This window comes from Homo sapiens, chromosome 1, assembly GCF_000001405.40.
Source record: "Homo sapiens chromosome 1, GRCh38.p14 Primary Assembly".
Classification (NCBI taxonomy): domain Eukaryota; kingdom Metazoa; phylum Chordata; class Mammalia; order Primates; family Hominidae; genus Homo; species Homo sapiens.
In genome coordinates this window covers 56955680-56972566 of record NC_000001.11, presented here as the reverse complement: position 1 = coordinate 56972566, position 16887 = coordinate 56955680, and the positions used below count along the sequence as shown (strand labels likewise).

Genomic DNA, 16887 nt, shown 5'->3' with positions numbered 1-16887 from the left:
GAAGAGAGCTAAAACCATCAGATCTTGTGAGACTTATTTACTATCACGAGTACAGCATGGGAAAGACCTGCCTCCATGAGCCAATTACTTCCCACCGGGTCTCTCCCATAACACATGGGAATTCAAGATGACATTTGGGTGGGGACACATGCAAACCATACCACTATCTGTTCCTGAACTATATGGCTTACACGGTATTCTACATCTAAGCCTCTTTTACAGCCAGAGAGAAATAATTACCTATAATTTATAAGACCATGCACCATAGAAGAAAGAGGGCACCTGTGCATGTCCACAGATAAATAGATATCCATTCTTTATATACAGAAATATACATAATAAAGGACACAGAATTTCCATATCTGTCAACACAGAGAACAAACAAAACCCTAGAATAGATAGCCTCCTCTGCTAAATAGACACTGCCTTCCTGCCACCACCACATCCATGTCATAGACATTGACCACTTAGAAGGCGGTTTTCAACCTGTGACTCCTTTCTAGTCAATGCTTGCCAGTTTTGTGAGGTGGAGAATGAGGATTTGGGGAAGGAGAGTGTATTTGTTTAGGTAATGCTAGCCACTATAACAGAAAAACACTGACATCTCAGTGGCCTACTACAATAGAAATTTCTTTTTTACTCTTGCATAGTCTAATCAGAAGAGAGTGCAGAAGATTCTGCTCCAGGCAGTCATGCAGGAACTCAGGCTGCCAGAGATTCTGCCCTCTTTAGCACTAGCTTTCACGATTACCATGGGTACCCACATGTAGCTGGCATATGAGGAAAAAAGAGAGTGTAGGATTTCACACTGGAGGTTTATCATGGGTCAGACATAAAACAGTACACACCCCTTCTCCCTATATTTCATTCACCAGACTGCAGTCACAGGGTTAAGTATAATTGCAAGGGAAGCTAGGACATGTAGTGTAGTTTAAGAGCAAAGAGATATGGGCTCCCTACACGGCTGTTCTCTTTGCCACAGGAGGATAATTTTGCTGGCTATCATTATCTTTCTTTTAATTTTTTTCCTTCTTGTTTTTCCAGTTGGGAATAGAGCCACTTCTTTTTCTCATTCGGGTTTTATTTTCCCCAGATAGCCCTCCAATAACCTTGTTGCCCACTCAGCCCACCTACACTTCCTTCTGGGAAAATTTTGAACCACAGTGGTGATAATACCCATGCAATGGATAAGGCATTCCAATATGCATAACCACCTTCGGTGATGTAGTTATCACAGCAGTCAGCTAAGGACTTTTGAAAATCAGGTTCCCCAGGCCGCAAGGAAAAATCTACAGTGGAAACAGTAGACGTCGGCATTTCCCAGACACTGATTAAGGCTCTAGAACAACAGGAGGGAGATAGATTCTGTCCTCCAGGATCCAGGGAAGGTGAGCCTGGAAGACAAGGAGCTCATCTGAAGGTGGACAAGACCATGCTGTAATCCATGGGGCTGTGTGTGATGAAGGGCGAAATGCGTGCTGTGTAGGGTGGTGTCACCCTGAACAGCTGCCAGGCTCAGCCCCAGGGACTTTATATACCTTCCTTAGTAGAGAACTATAACCTCAGTCATCATAATTCCACCTTTGCACAGAGCTGTGTAGTGTACAAAGCCTTTCACTGTTCACTGAGGGTGTGTTATTTTCTTCCCTCAGTGACATAAGACAGGTATTATGTTTATGCCTTCCTTTCCATCTCTACTCTCTCTTCTGCTACCACCACCCTAATTCAGGCCTGCATCTTTTCTCAGTGGACTCTTAGGACAGCCTCCTAAGGGGTCTCTCGGCTCCAATTTGCCTCCCTCTAATCCATTCTCTACACTGTAGCAAGAGTAATCTCTCAAAGAAAGCAGTCCCTTTTCTTCTCCTCCTAACACCCTTCAATAGCTTCTCTTGCAGTTTGGATAAAATCCATGTCATTAGCATGCTCATCAGGCCCTACCTGATATGGCTCCTGCCTGCCTCTCCTGTTTCATTTCTTTCCATTGCTCATGCTGAACTCTGTGCTACAGCAACACTGAATGGCTTATGGTTCCCACAGACCCAGTGACCTTCCTCACCTTTGGATCATAACTTTGATGACCCCTTTATCTGTAATGCCACATGCCCTCCCTTTCATTTGCTAACTCCTCTTTAACCCTTAAGTGTCACCTCATTCCTGAGAATACTTTTCCAATGGCCACACACATACTTCGCTGATGCCTGAGCTATGCTGTGTAAACCTCTCTCATTGTCACACTGTACTGCTGTGATGTTTTACTGTGCCTGCCCATCTCACTAAGCTGTGAGCTTTCATAGGGAAGGTCCATTACACACTCATCTTTATACCCAGTCAAGTAGCATTGCACTTGGCATCTAGTAGGTGCTCAATAAATGATTGTTGAAGTGTTTTATCAACAAGCCTGCATTTGAAACTCAGTAAACTACAGCTTAGAGGGCTTAAGGGGTTGGTCCAGGATATAAACTAAGTCACAGGAGAAATGAGATGTCTCAGTCTTTCTGAATCCTCAAATACTTCACACTATATCACATGATCTTCAAAAGGAGACAGATAATTATGTTGGCTGAAAAAGTTGTATCTCTTGAGGAAATGTTTTGTTTTGTTTTACTTCTTTTAAATCTTAAGTCCTTTTGAGAATCTCAGGAAAGTTATGGATTTTTCCCCCAGAAAAATGTATATACACACCAAATTTTTTATGCAATGTAAGAATATATTAAAAGTATATTGGTCAGAATGGGGTAGGTATTATTGCAGCAACAATAAACCACCAAATCCCAATAACATAGCACAACAAAAGTTGAATTCTAACTCACATGAAGTCCTTTATGGGTCAACATGGGCTCTCCTCCATCCAATGACTCAGGGGTTTAGGCTTCCTTCACCATAAGACATTGTTCTGTCAACACATGCTTCCAAATCCACAGGACAGAAGACAGAAATGGACAGGGCACACTGGCTCTTAAGTGCTTCAGCCCGAAAGTGTCACATGTCTGTAAGAAATTGCCGAATGTCCACGAATTCCTTCCAAAATTGTAGGCATACCCCTTTGCAATGTGACTCTGCTCTTCCTCCCATCAACAGGTATAAGCTCTGTCTCTAGCTCTTGAATGTGGGCTTGGCCATTGCTTCAGCCAAGGAGACATTAAGAAACATCAGGCAAGCAGAAGTTTGGAAAGCACTTGTGCACTGGGGCTTGTCTTTTCTTGCTGCTTTTTGAAACCATTAGATCACCCTGAGATCAAGCCTGAGTTAGTCTATTTGGAGTCATGTGGCCCATTTACTTCATCACTTCAGCCAACAGCCAGTGCTAACTGACAGACAGAATGAATCATCAGGCAGGTGAGTAAGGCCATCCTGGACCAACCAGGCTCCTGCTGACCTACCAGTTGGCTGAACCAAGGCAAGGCCAGCACCCATTTTAGCCTAGGCCTATTTGATGACCCAAGGAATTGTGAGCTGATAAATGATGATTGTTTTAGTCTACAATTTTGGGATTATTTGTTATGCAGCAAAAGCTAACTAATACAAAAATAGGTACCAGGAGTGGAGTGCTGCCATAGCAGAAACATGAAAAGTGGCATTGGCTGTGGAACTGGGTGGAGCCTGGAAAATCAGTCAATAAAAGTTGGAAAAACAACAAACTGTTAGTGGATCCGCAGACCTAGAGTTACAAATTCCTTCATATCGTTTAAAGGCCTAGAGACATATGATCAGTTTCAAAGCTCTCGCATGGTCAGAGATGAGATCTATAGCCCTGAGTAAGAGCAGCTAGACCAGAAGAGCAGTGTGGTGTGATAACTGTGAAGACTTAAAGCAGTGCTGGCACATCCTAAGGGCAAGGGGAAGCTTCAGAGCTAGAAAAAGGAGCATTTAGGAGTCAGAAAAAAAAGTGTATCAAGCCAAAGATGTCCTACTAACCAGCTGTGGAAACAGCTGTGAAGCCCCATCTTAGAGGCTTGGAAGATGATATTATGTTTCTTGGCTTATTGTCAAAATCAAACAAGATGATGTATGGGAAAACTGTTAAATTGTTAAGAACTGTCCCTGAAAAATATGTGTATTACTATCACTAAAGCCTGAGGCTGCCGTCCTCCAGGCGGGATCTCAGGTGAGCTGCACTGGGAAACCACCAGGGGGCGCGATGAGGTTGGAACTCCGGGAGACCTGGGGGCGCCTGGAGCGTTAAGAACCCCAGGGGAATCTATTGGGAAGGCTTTCTTGAGCAAGTGACATTAATATAAAACTCGAATAATGAGTCGTATTTAGCTAAGTGGCACATACTCTGGACAGAAGGAACGGCATGCAAAAATCCTGGAGGTGAGAGAGCACAGGATTCACTCGTGTAACTGTCCTCTCTAAACCTGCAGGCTCCTCCGTGAGTACATCAGGTTGAGGAGGTCGAAGGGGAGCCCTGTCTTCTAAGGGTTTGGCTTCTCTTAAAGGCAGGCAGATAGGAGACAGGACATGGATCTTTCTTGAAACACAAGTTTCTGCTTGTTTACAAATGATTAACCACCACAATCAATTGCGTCAAAGTTCAGGTCAATTCATCCTTTGGGACAACGGTGACATGGAGTCTTGCACCTAGGCTTATGACAACTGGAATGCATCCTGGGTGGTCTGGCAGCAGAACTTGTGTTCTGTGTTTTGGACACAATTAATGTGAGAGGACTACCATCTTCTGTGGCTTTCCCATCCATCCCCTCACTATACTTCCTTATTTGATTCTCCAACCCCAACCCAGCTACTCGGCAGGGGTGGCAGGAGGGGGAGGCTTCCCGTTTTGTACGTTCAAACCCAAAACAAACTTATCAAGTAGGTAGTAATGAATTATTATCCCTATTTCACAGATGAGAAAACAGAGTCTTAGAGAAACTCTGTAACTGTGTTTAAGGAAAGCAAATCCAGTGTTCTTTCTACTAGCCCACCCTCATACCTTGCAAGCTGCCTCTCCCATGTGAGGTTCCTCACCCACATCTGCAATAGCAAAAGCAACAGGACGCCATCCAACACGTGGACTCAGCCCTTTATGCGTTGCAGGTTGGTTTTGTAAATGCCAGGTTGGTGCAGTTTGGACTTTAATATGTTGATTCTGGGGAGTCAGGGATGGTTTTCAGGAAGGTAGGTTTGAGAACCTCAGTCATTTGTATCTTTTGGGATGCAAACAATAACAACAACAGCACATATATATTTAGATAATTATTTTCATGTAGTTATTTCCTGGGTTTTTTTTGTTTTGTTTTGTTTTGTTTTATTTTGAGACGGAGTCTCGCTCTGTCACCCAGGCTGGAGTGCAGTGGCGCGATCTCGGCTCACTGCAAGCTCTGCCTCCCAGGTTCACGCCATTCTCCTGCCTCAGCCTCCCGAGTAGCTGGGACTACAGGCGCCCAACACCATGCCTGGCTAATTTTTTTTGTATTTTTGGTAGAGACGGGGTTTCACCATGTTAGCCAGGATGGTCTCGATTTCCTGACCTCGTGGTCCGCCCGCCGCGGCCTCCCAAAGTGTCATGTAGTTATTTCTATAATGCCTATTTGTTCAACAATTACACATTTAGTATTTGGTCTGACTCTCCCAACTGTGAGTGGTAAGTTGTCATAGTCCTCCTAATTTTACATATGAAGAAACAGAATCAGAGACAGTCAATAAAAATACCAGCTCACTTATAGAGAGTGCACATAGAATGTGCCAGGCAATGTTCAACATGTTTTGAACATGTTGTGAAGATTAAATAAATCTAATTTATTTAATAATAATAATTATAATTAATTATAATTACAATAATAATTAATAATAATCTAATTTATTTAATCTTCACAACAACCCGGTGAGGTTGGTATTATTATTATCCCTGTTTTATTGATGAAGGAACTTAGGCCCAGAGAGGGTTAGTAATTTTCTCTGGCCACACAGCTGGTGAATCATACAGAAGCAATTTGAAGTCAGGTAGATGGGTTCTAGAGCCCTACAGCCTCTTACTGACTTGCTCAACATCATGTAACTGGAAAGAGGCAAACATGGAATTCAAACCTTGGCCTGTCTGACTCCAAACCCTGAATTCTACTAAGTAATAATAGCTGACATATCTGAGCGCTGAACATAGGCCTGTTCTAAACATTTCCTTATATTAACGTGTTTAATTCTCACCACTTAGCAAGTAAGGAGAGTAAGGCACAGAAGTAAAGCAACTTGCCCATAGTCCAAAGCTGTTAGGTTGGTGCAAAAGTAATTGTGGTTTTTGCCATTAAAAGCAATGACAAAAACTGCAATTACTTTTGCACCAACCTAGTCAGTGGCAGAGAATGTACTTGAACCCAGGCTGTCTAGACCTAGATCCCACAGTCCTTGCCACCTCACTAATAGCCTGTCCACTTGGCAGCTTACCCTAAAGTTACAGAGGAATAAACACCATGCTGCTACAGATTTTTCATTATTCTGGTTGGTTTCCAGAGTGACAGGTAAGTTTTTGGTCTGTGCAAAGTCTGTTTCCAGTCACTAGTGGCTTTCTGTTTACTTTGCAGAGCTATTTGCTCTTGGGGACAGAAGCTGACAGTGGCACTCACAGCACAGGCTTGTTATGGGTCTAGCAGCCTCTGTGGCATCTCCTGTCACATTGGGAAAATGAAGAATTCCAGGACATGGGCTTGGAGGGCGCCGGTGGAGCTATTTCTTCTCTGTGCTGCCCTGGGCTGTCTCAGTTTGCCTGGCTCCAGGTAAGTGACAGTTACCAATAATTCCCTGATCAATAATATGACAGGGAAGGTGCAGCCACATGATGCTGACCATCTCTTTGTTGCATGCCTATTGAATGAGGAACGTCTCTTAAGGCAATTTGCATGCATCTGATAACATACTATCAACAACTCTTTTCAAATTATTGTGGAACCAAGTAGCTGATTTCAACAAAAGTTCCTGTAAGAAACTGACAGGTTTAAATGTATTTTGTCATGCTGAGAAGAATAGGATATTTTTTCTGTATTCTGAACAAAGCCTCCGTGTGATTCTTTATGAAAAAGAAAGTTTGTTACATACAGAGGACAAAAGAGCAAATTCATGAAATGATTTTAATAAATGAGATTGACCTACTCTACCTGCTCATCAACCCCAAATCTTCAGATTCTCAGGTTCTTTCCCACCCCCTTCTTACACACACACACACACACACACACACTCTCTCTCTCTCTCTCTCTCACCCCCCACAAGGTTCCCAGCAGTTAAATGCTGGCTGATTTATTTCATCATTGTTAGTCTCCATTAACAAGGTGCAAAACAAGCTAAAGAAAATATCCTAGTGGGAGCTCAAACTTGGGCTCCAGTGATAGAAGAGCCAGTGACGTAGCAATGTGGGGATGCTCCGTGTGCATGAGAAACCCCTGCCATGAGATGTTGAAGTGTGCATGTGTCCCCGGCCTCCATGTAAACACTCCTGTGGGAAGAGGGACTGTAATTCCATTCCTTTTACTTAGTCCAAAAATGAGATCTGAACAAACCTTTCACTTTATGTGAGGAGTACCTCCTACCCATGGGACACAGCCTCTGGTCTCAGTTCTGTTGAGCTGCCATTAGGAACCACAGGATGATGAGCATTCGTTCACTATCTATTGGCCACTCAATAAGTAACAGCTATTAGGATGATCAAGAAACTCCATTTAGCCCAGAGAATAACTAAGCTGCCAAGACCTTCCTTGTGTGTACTGTGTGTACACAGAGAAGCATTCAGGACCCAAGAAAATGTCTCCGGAATGGAGGACTTAAGGGAACCATAGCAACCCTATCTATAGCATTGTGCCCCTGGGTGGAGCTTTCTGTTGGGCTCTGAGGATACAGAGATGAGCCTATGTTCTCACAAAGAATGCCAACATGTGAGCATATGCTATGTGTACCGTTACAAAAGATGCTACGGGGCAGCCAGGAAACAAGGAGGGAATGATCAGCTCTACAGGGCATAGGGCCTGGAAAGGCTTCTAGAACAGAGAGTGTGAGGGCTGAATCTCTACAGGTGCGTGGGTGTTTGCCGAATGGCTAAGGGGTTGAAAGGTGTGCCAGGTAGAGGGAGCAGCACAGGCAACGGTGCGTGAGTGTGAGAGAGCTGGCTTGCTCCTGAAGCTTCCAGACACCTCAGTGGGCCTTGAACACAGGTCCCGGCAGGAAGTTGAGAGGGATGAGATAGAGTAGGAGTGAACAGGCATCATGTCATGGGCAGAGTTGGGGGATGCTGGAGTACCAGCTAAGGAACTTGAACTATATCCTCACCACAATGCATTGGGAAGCCATTGAAGAGTTGAAGCAAAGGAGTGACACGATCAAATATATATATTAGGAAGTTCACTCTGAGGTAGGGAGTGGAGGGGCAAATTGTTGATTAGAGTGCAGTCTGAGAAATTGTATTTAATTGTCACTACAACATCATGAGGTGGGTGTAATCTCTCCTTCTCGCTATGTAAGAGAACAAACTGATCCTCAGTGACAAGAAAAGATTCACGCATGTGTGGTGAGGTTTTCAAACCCTTACCTGAATCTGGGTATAGTTCTGACATCCACCTATAATCCCCATGGGGCTGTCTTGAACACGACAGGTATTTGAATTCCATCTGCGAGTAGAAGAATAGTCTTTGGTTCTGGAACAGAAAATGCTGAGACCACCTTCGTATTGGCCAAAAGAGTTTTTTGTTCTTACTTACTCTTGTAATCAAGTCAGATGATGAAATCACAATCACTGTGTCGTAAGACCTATTATGTATTGCCACTCTGTGCCAGCAACTTGGAAACATTAGCTATAATCCTCACAGCTATTCCAGGTAAGTGCTACTGTTTACAGTTTCACAGAGAGGGAAACAGAAAACATAAGTGTCCCAAGGCTATCCACTTAACAAACAGCTAACTATGGATTCAAATCCAGTTTCATTCAGGTCTCAGAGTCCCTGCACTCTCTCTGCATCCTTCTGCTTCTCACTAATGCGTTGTCCCCTCCCCACCCCCCACCACCCCCCAACCTCCACATTGTGTATCTGACTTGTTGGCCTCTGTGCTGTTTCTCCATCTCTGGGCCACACATTTGTTGCCTTGAGATGTTGCTTTAAATTTCATGTCTACCACAGCAAACGACAGAGAGAAGAGAAATTGAAAACCTGCCACCTAGAAGCTGCCCCTTCTAGCAAAGAAAAAGGATGCTGTTTGCAAAGGGGATGCAGCTGCTTAACAAATTGTGTGTGACAAGAAAGTTGTTGTGTCAGGGCATTTCTACCGAAAGCCAAAATATATTGACGCACCCCATCTATATAAGCTGATGGCTTGCAATTTACTGCTGACCCAATCCTGCTGTACTGGATGGATCCATCTTTATTTTGATCAGAGACGCCTGTTAGGAAAAGAGTGGGAGACCTGGGCCCAGTTAAATGTGTCCTAATGCTGGCTACAGCATTTTCTGCATCCCCAGGAAAGACACCTCCTTGCCAGTCCTTAAGTAGAGGGGGCACATGTTCAAGGAGCTGAGCAAGGGCGTTTACTGTAGCTCTATTTGCAATCGCAAAACATTGGGAAAATATAAATGTCCCTCAAAAAGAGAAGGAATAAATTAAATGCAATGTGTGTCATATGATAGAACATCCAGACAAAAGAAATGAACTAGATCTCTTTATGAATCAACATGGATAACTTCAGAAATGCAATGTTGATTAACAAAAGTGAGTTGCAGAATCATATGTGTAAGTATGAATAAAGCACACACAAGCAATACTATAGATAGTGTATAGACATCAAATTATCTAAAAGAGACTGGAAGGAAACACACCAAATTCATGGCAATAGCCCCTCTGGGGGTAAGGTGGGGGGAGCAAAATCGAGGCTGCTGTAAAATGCAGATGTCAAAATTAAAAATTTACAAAAAGACTTGAAGCAAGTGTACCAAAGTGTGAACAACTGCCAATCTGGATGTGAGTACATGGGTGTTTATTATATTATTTCTTGTACTTCTCTAGGCATGCTTAATTTTTCAATGTTAAAAGCATACAGAGGATTTTTAATGACAGAAGTTTAGTCAGTTGGTCAAAATGTCCATCAGGTTTGTTTCTATAGAAATCCATAGGGGTGAAAGGCTCATGTTGTTCCCACACACAGAGGCCCTGAGGGAACCTAGAATTTATGTGGCTCCTCGTTAGTCCCAGGAACTAAAGATGCTGTTTAATCCTAGCCTTTCTTTCAGATTTGCATTTTATAGTACTAATAAACCACACACATCTCATCCGATGTAATTTACAAACATACTATTTATTCAGCTGGTTACTTCATTATATTGCCACCTTCCATAATGAAAATTGGGTGCAAAAATGAGAGATGTGGTGGATATAACTACTTTTTACCAAGTTCTTTCCGTAAGTGATCATCTTGCCCATTAACAGGCTTTCAAATCTCAGAGACGAAAATAATTGTGACTCTTAATAGCTAGTGTGTACATTACTTACCTGCTCAGTCTCACCTATGGCCCTGGAGTTGTCTTGGTTGCTAAAAACATAATGTAACAGTTTTGTAGTTGAAATAGGAAGAGGGTACCCTGCAGAGCTGTCAAATACATACTTAGGAGAAGCCAAATCACAGACAATATTGTTTTGTCAAACCTGGGCAAATTAGTAGATAAGAACACACTCTGAAGCCCCCCACTGGTGTGTAGCATCCTGCCTCAAGTAACCGTTTTAAAGTATCCACCTGTGGTTTCCAGTAGTCTTTGACCTTTCATTAAAGATCCAGCTTTACTAGGCAATTGATTTTTGCTGGTCTCTGTGGCGGTCATGGACACAGATTTCACCGTAGTTAATATTATCCTCTTTTTAGGACTTTTGCCAATTGAGAACATATTGTTAATGACCTTGTCGGGAGTGACATCCTGTGTATATGAGATGGTGAAAACTACGTGATGCTCTTCTCCCTAATGACTCAATCCTGGATATGGAAAGAAAGAGGCCTTACATAGATGTTGGAAGAGATTATTGGAGTCAGTGCTGGCCCTGTTTCCTTCCAGGCAGCATGGGGCAACGGACAAAACCCGTATATACTCTAGAGCCTAAGAGACCTCGGCTCAGATCGTAACACCACTGCATACCAGCTGCATGACCGTGGATGTGTCCCTGTCTCTCTGGGCCGCTTCCCTCATCTGCCCAGGTGGCAGTGCTCCACAGCTGTCTTCCAGCATTGCTGTGAAAATAGAAGAAGATAGCGTGGGTGATGCTGGGCCATTGAGCACAGCCTTGACATGTCTGTCATAGGTGCTCAGCAAACCTCCATTCCTTTTGTCTTCCCATCTCTTTTTGTGCCCTGGAAAGGAACACAAATTACAAAGAATCTTACAGTGTAATACACCCTTTCAATTGTAAGAAAAAAATAAGAATCATCATACACACTTCATATTACAGAGGAAGAAACTGAAGGCCCAGGCAAATTAAATAGCATCCTCATTCATCCACTCATAACCCAATGTGCTCCAGGAAATGAACCAAAAGCATTGCCTTATCTCTGCTGGTGGTGCTGAGGTTTCCAAGAATAAGTATCCTTCACTCACTTCTCCTCTCAAGAACCATCTCCTCCTCTTCCATAGCTTTCCATGATCAGATCTGTACCTAGCACAAATCTCTCATCCTGAGATCCAAGCCCATATAGGAACTATTTACTAAATGAGTCTCCGTAGGTGTTTCATGGCACCTGGAACTCAGCATGCCCCACCCGAAACTCAAGTCTTCCCCATCAAGATTTATTTTCTGCTGTGTTTCCCACCGCCCACACACTCAAATGGGAAAACAGCATCCACTTAAAAGGCCTTCCTTTAGCACCCCACCTCCACCATCCACCATCACTTTCTATCCATTCCACATGAGAAGCATCTCATATGCTGGTTCTCCCCATCCTCTCGCCCTGGCCATTGCCATGATTCAGGCTTATACCACTCAGTGGGACTGCTGCTGCCAGCCTCTTCCTTGTTTCCCTACTACCAGGCTCTCCTGACTCCCACTGGGCCTGCACAGCTCCAGCCATGGGGCCTGCATGCTGGAAATCCCTGCCCTCTGGATAAAGTCCCATAGAGCTAGGGCGTGAGGCATGTTTCTCACAGATATGTTTCTCTAGCCATAATGTTAGGTGCTTACTACATGTTCAATAAATATTTGTTGGATTAATTAACCTAAATTAATTAATTAATTAAGGAATGGAATTAATTAATATTTCATTGTTGGATTAAATATTTGTTGGATTAATTAATTAATTCCAGGATAGGTTATCCTGGAATGATAAACTAATAGCCTTGCACAAGTGAGCAAATATATATTTATTGAATGTACAAATAGATGGTTGGATGTATACTTAATTCCCTTCTGATACGTGACTCTCTTCTCTCATAATGACTTTTAGAGGTGAAAGGCCACATTCCTTTGGGTCAAATGCAGTCAACAAGAGCTTTGCTAAGAGCAGACAGATGCGGAGTGTGGATGTTACCCTGATGCCCATTGATTGTGAGCTGTCTAGTTGGTCCTCTTGGACCACATGTGACCCCTGTCAGAAGAAAAGGGTAAGCAACCAGGCCTGGGACAGCTCTAAGCTTCCAGGAGCCTTTGTCCCCAGCAAGATCGGCTGAGCCATTGCTAACAGTGCCTGGCACATAGTTGGCCCTCAATAAATGTCGGCTAACTTAATAAATGCATCCTTTCCTTCTGTGCTTCCAAGCAGCAATAAGTTCTTTCCTTTGGTTCTCCAGTGTTTTCCAAGCACACCCAGCCTTTCTCACTCTACTAGCTTCCTAATTAGACTCTCTGCCTTGAACCTGTTCTTTCAATCAATCTTTCATCATGAAACAGGGGAAGCAATCATAGTGTATGTCTGAGTTGTCTTTGCCCACTTGGAAACCATTCACAGTCTACCCATGACCCTTAGGATCAAGTCCAGGATCATGGTTTTCGAGGATCCCTGTGACCGAATCTAGCCTACATTTCCAGCACAATGGACACTTGTATGACTCTGGCCTTCACTCTCTCTGGGCGTTTCTTCATGCTGCTTTCTCAGGTAGGATGACATTTCCCACTTCCTTCACTGGTGAACACCTACTCACAATTTGAAACTCCTACTCAGGAGCTGCCTCTTTTGAGAAAGCTTTTTGACTCCTCCTCAGCCCTACCTCCAGTTGGATAAAGCAATCTTTTATGAGCTTCGATAGCTCCTTATTACCCTTGTATCCTCACATTTATCACATCATGCCACTTATTTTTCACCTTCAATACACAGTGAACTTGTGAAGGCTGATTTAATTCTGCATTTTCAATGTGTAGACCAATCTCTGGCACAGAATAGGTTCTTCATAAATATGTGGTGTTTGATCTTGTTCTGTTTTCTGATATCTCTACAGGGAAGGCAATGTTGTTGTTACACTTTCTGTTAAACAGACAGATAAACAGGAAATCAGAGCAGATAAATGGCTTCTTGAGTTCACCTAGTAGTAAATGCAGACCTCAAACTCAGGCTACTGTCCAGTATTCCTTGTATAGGGTTCTTCCAGTGAACACACTCAATTTCCGCAATATCTGTCATTCAGCCTCCTTGGTCATAGGAGGGCTGACCCAGGATCCTACTTCTGAGAACAATAGATATGCCAGAGAAAAGAGAATGGTTGCTATTTCCCCAGATCCTTGGGAAACCAAACCAGCCATGGGCTTAGACTCTAAAGAGGCTGTGGAAGTAAGCCCAGGACAATCACCCAGTTAATTGGATCAATGGAGAGAGCCAAGGTGGATCATTCAGTTCCCAAAGTAGGTTTTATTGCTGAAGGTATCAGCATTGATCCAATTATCTGGATAATTGCTTCATCTGCACCATAAACTAGGAAGACTCAGCATGAGTCAGCCTGGCAGCCAGAGCTCCTCTCTCAGAGTCTGCCGCAGACGTTCCCTCAGCTGGTTATCATCCCTGTCTGCAGGGTCACTGGCTGGGGGCTCAGCAAAGCCTCTCAAGTCAGATTGGGTGATATATTTCCTGCACCACTTACACACTCCTGGAACCCACTTTGCCTTTGGAGCCTGGAGCTTTTTAGTCTTTTTTTTTTCACAGTGTTCTCTGCAAGCCTTGTCCCTGTCCTGACAGGCTCTGCCTTCTAGAAAGAATGACCCTTTGCAAGTACAAAGGGCATAGGTGAATGGTTATCTACATTTCTTTTTTTGGATTTCCAAGGCCAAAGTATAGATGCCATAAAGGTAATAACTATGCCTTATTAATGTCATCCTGCAAAGCAGGGGCTGCTATCCTGGCTTGCCTCCTGTGTTCTTTTGTTTACTAAAATCTTGACTGCAACTAACTTTTGGAAATCACCCAAATCTGATCACTTTCTTCCTCTGCAGCAGTTTCTCATTGCCGCAGGATAAAATCCTGTAATCACTTTCCTAAGGCCTGGAGGCCCCTGTGTTATCTGCTCTTGTCTATGTCTCCCTCCCACTCTGGCCACTCTCCTACTTGTGCTCTTCTCCCCAGCCACAATGAATCTTTTTAATGTTTTCTGGAACACGGGAAACCTTCTCTAGTCCTCTCAGCTTTGGTACAGGAATTTCCTCCACCCATATCACTCTTCTGAGCCCCACTCTCGTCAGTTCTTCACACCTGTCAGACATTCCTACTCAGCCATCAAGTTTCAGCTGAGGTGTCACTTAGTTCTTCCAAAGCCTTCCACTTGGGCTTCTCCTAAGTTTGCATGAGGGACTCCCGATGAGTGTGCAAAGCACTCTGCCTCCCCTGTCATGGCACTCATTGCACTGTGCTGCAACTGCCTGGGGCCCAACCCCAGCATCTGTGACCTCCTTGAGAACAGGCTAGGGGATACAATTACCAATAAAACTGACCAAACAAGGAAACAACAATAACATCTACCTTTTCAACACTGGGTGGCTCAATCAATCATTTTGGAATAAATGCATAAGATGGTAGAGATATAGCAATATTGACTGCTAAAAAGCAATAATAAAGAAAAACAAGTCCAAGAAATTGAATGCCTACTATACATCCAACAACATAATGAGATTATATAATTTAAACTTCATAACTGAACATTTAGATAATTCGTGATCCCTATTTTACAGATGGGTAAATTGAGATTCATAAATATTAAGTAATTTGCCCAATATCACACAACTATAAAGTATCAGAATCAGTTGTAGCTCCAAAGCCCATGTTTTTGCATTTATAATATACTGATGCCTTCAGGAATAAAGGGGAATACTTGAATCAACCCAGTGGAGTAATTAAGCTGAGAGATAATTTATTTTGTGTTATTGAACTGGCTACATGAGTCCATCTACTAACCTTTGACTCCAGAGCCCATGGAGTCAGCATGGGCTGACTTTCCCACATTCAGCAAATCTTGACTGATCACTGCAGAAGCAGAGATCAAAGCCAAGGTCCCTGCCCTCAGAGAGCTCACAGACTAATTGAAGAAACCATCCAGCAAACAGCAAATCACAACATAGCTCCTTAAGTATATATAATGGGGGGAGCACAAGGGGCTGGGGGAATGATGATCAGACATTTCAGTGCTCTTGTGAAGCCCAAATCCTGGCTCAAGACCCATTTACACAGAGTATCCCTCAGCTCCTGAGATCTAAGGCTTTACCCTTGGTTCACCTGGCTCCTCTCTGCTACAGTACAGGTATGCCTACTTGCTCCAGCCCTCTCAGTTCCATGGGGAACCGTGCAACTTCTCTGACAAGGAAGTCGAAGACTGTGTTACCAACAGACCATGCGGAAGTCAAGTGCGATGTGAAGGCTTTGTGTGTGCACAGACAGGTATAAATCAATGTAGGAGTAAGAGGGGAAAGCCTGAAATGAGGTAATGGTTCTTGATGACCAAGGGACAGGCCATGTCCAGTGCTCAAGATCAGGGTCATGGGGCAGCTCAGGAGGCCTCCTTGTCCTAAAATCTCTGACCTCCTTTCACATGCATTATTTTATAAAAATCACCTTATAATGTAGGTGTTATTATTATCCTCATTATATACCTTAAAAAATCAAGACTTGAAGAGGTTACTTCTTCATATAGCAGGTAAGTGGAAAAGTTTCTATTGGAAATTTGAGAATTCAGATTACATTCATTGACATTAAAGACACAAAAAGTATGTGTGCTGGAGTCAGAAATGTTGGGTCAGGCCTTATTTTGACTTTGTGACTAGCAGAAGTCACTTAACCTTTCTGCATTTTGGCTCCCTCAACTGAAAATTAGGGGTGATGTGAATACCTTACAGGTCTGTTATAAGCATCAAGTGACATCATAGCTATGAGAGCTCTTTGTAGACTGTTGGCTCCCTTAGCTCTCTCAGAGGTCTGGGGTTAAGTAGAATATGACAAAACCTAGAACGGTTACATAGGGCAGTTAGCATCATTTATCACTGATAAATCTTTAGAAAGATATTTCCTGTCATTTACATTTCTGCATCACTAAGTCCAAGATGATCCTTAATCCATGATATACCCGGTAAAAATTATTGTTTATTAAAAGGAAGAAAAGAAAAAAGGACAGATGGATAGACTGACAGAAGGAAGGAAGGAAGGTAGGAAGAAAGGAGTACAGAAATGAATAATCACCTGCTGCAAAACTAAATAAACACAACTTTTCAATTCATTCAGAGAATCCAAGCAAACAGATGGTTCTCTATTTCTCCATCTCCAGCAAAAATGAGAATATTTTGACCCACATTTTCTAGATGGAAGTTGCAATTCTCTACATTTACTGTACCCATGTGGACTGTGCATGGGGATCTTTCAAGAAAGAGTTAGGGATTCTTAGAGCAATTTCTAGGGGTTATTGCAAATGCAAAATTCTATCCAATAAATCTGAGAGACTTTTTACAGTGTATCCGTGGACTCATTATGGCCTGT

General features: G+C 43.0%; 1 protein-coding gene and 1 long non-coding RNA gene across 17 annotated transcripts in view; one reads left to right on the top strand and one right to left on the bottom strand.

The window, feature by feature from the left end:
• Positions 1 to 8595, bottom strand: part of LOC112267900 (uncharacterized) — a 50726-nt gene extending 42131 nt beyond the window's left edge. For 11 of the 13 annotated variants that reach the window (XR_007066112.1, XR_007066115.1, XR_007066116.1 and 8 more), the window contains exons 1-2: positions 4934 to 5018; positions 2811 to 2987 (exon numbers count right to left, since the gene is read on the bottom strand). This is a non-coding gene — a long non-coding RNA (uncharacterized LOC112267900). Of the gene's footprint in view, positions 1 to 2810; positions 2988 to 4933; positions 5019 to 8509 lie in introns of those variants that run through there. The other 2 variants (XR_007066117.1, XR_007066120.1) reach the window with 2 other exon arrangements.
• The window catches only part of C8B (complement C8 beta chain), a 36809-nt gene continuing 26473 nt past the window's right edge, over positions 6552 to 16887 (top strand). For 2 of the 4 annotated variants that reach the window (NM_000066.4, XM_047429957.1), the window contains exons 1-3: positions 6552 to 6710; positions 12391 to 12547; positions 15657 to 15798. In NM_000066.4, coding sequence (NP_000057.3) covers positions 6619 to 6710; positions 12391 to 12547; positions 15657 to 15798 — 391 coding nt within the window. In that variant the 5' untranslated portion in view covers positions 6552 to 6618. Of the gene's footprint in view, positions 6711 to 8573; positions 8796 to 12390; positions 12548 to 12909; positions 13039 to 15656; positions 15799 to 16887 lie in introns of all 4 variants that reach the window. The other 2 variants (NM_001278544.2, NM_001278543.2) reach the window with 2 other exon arrangements.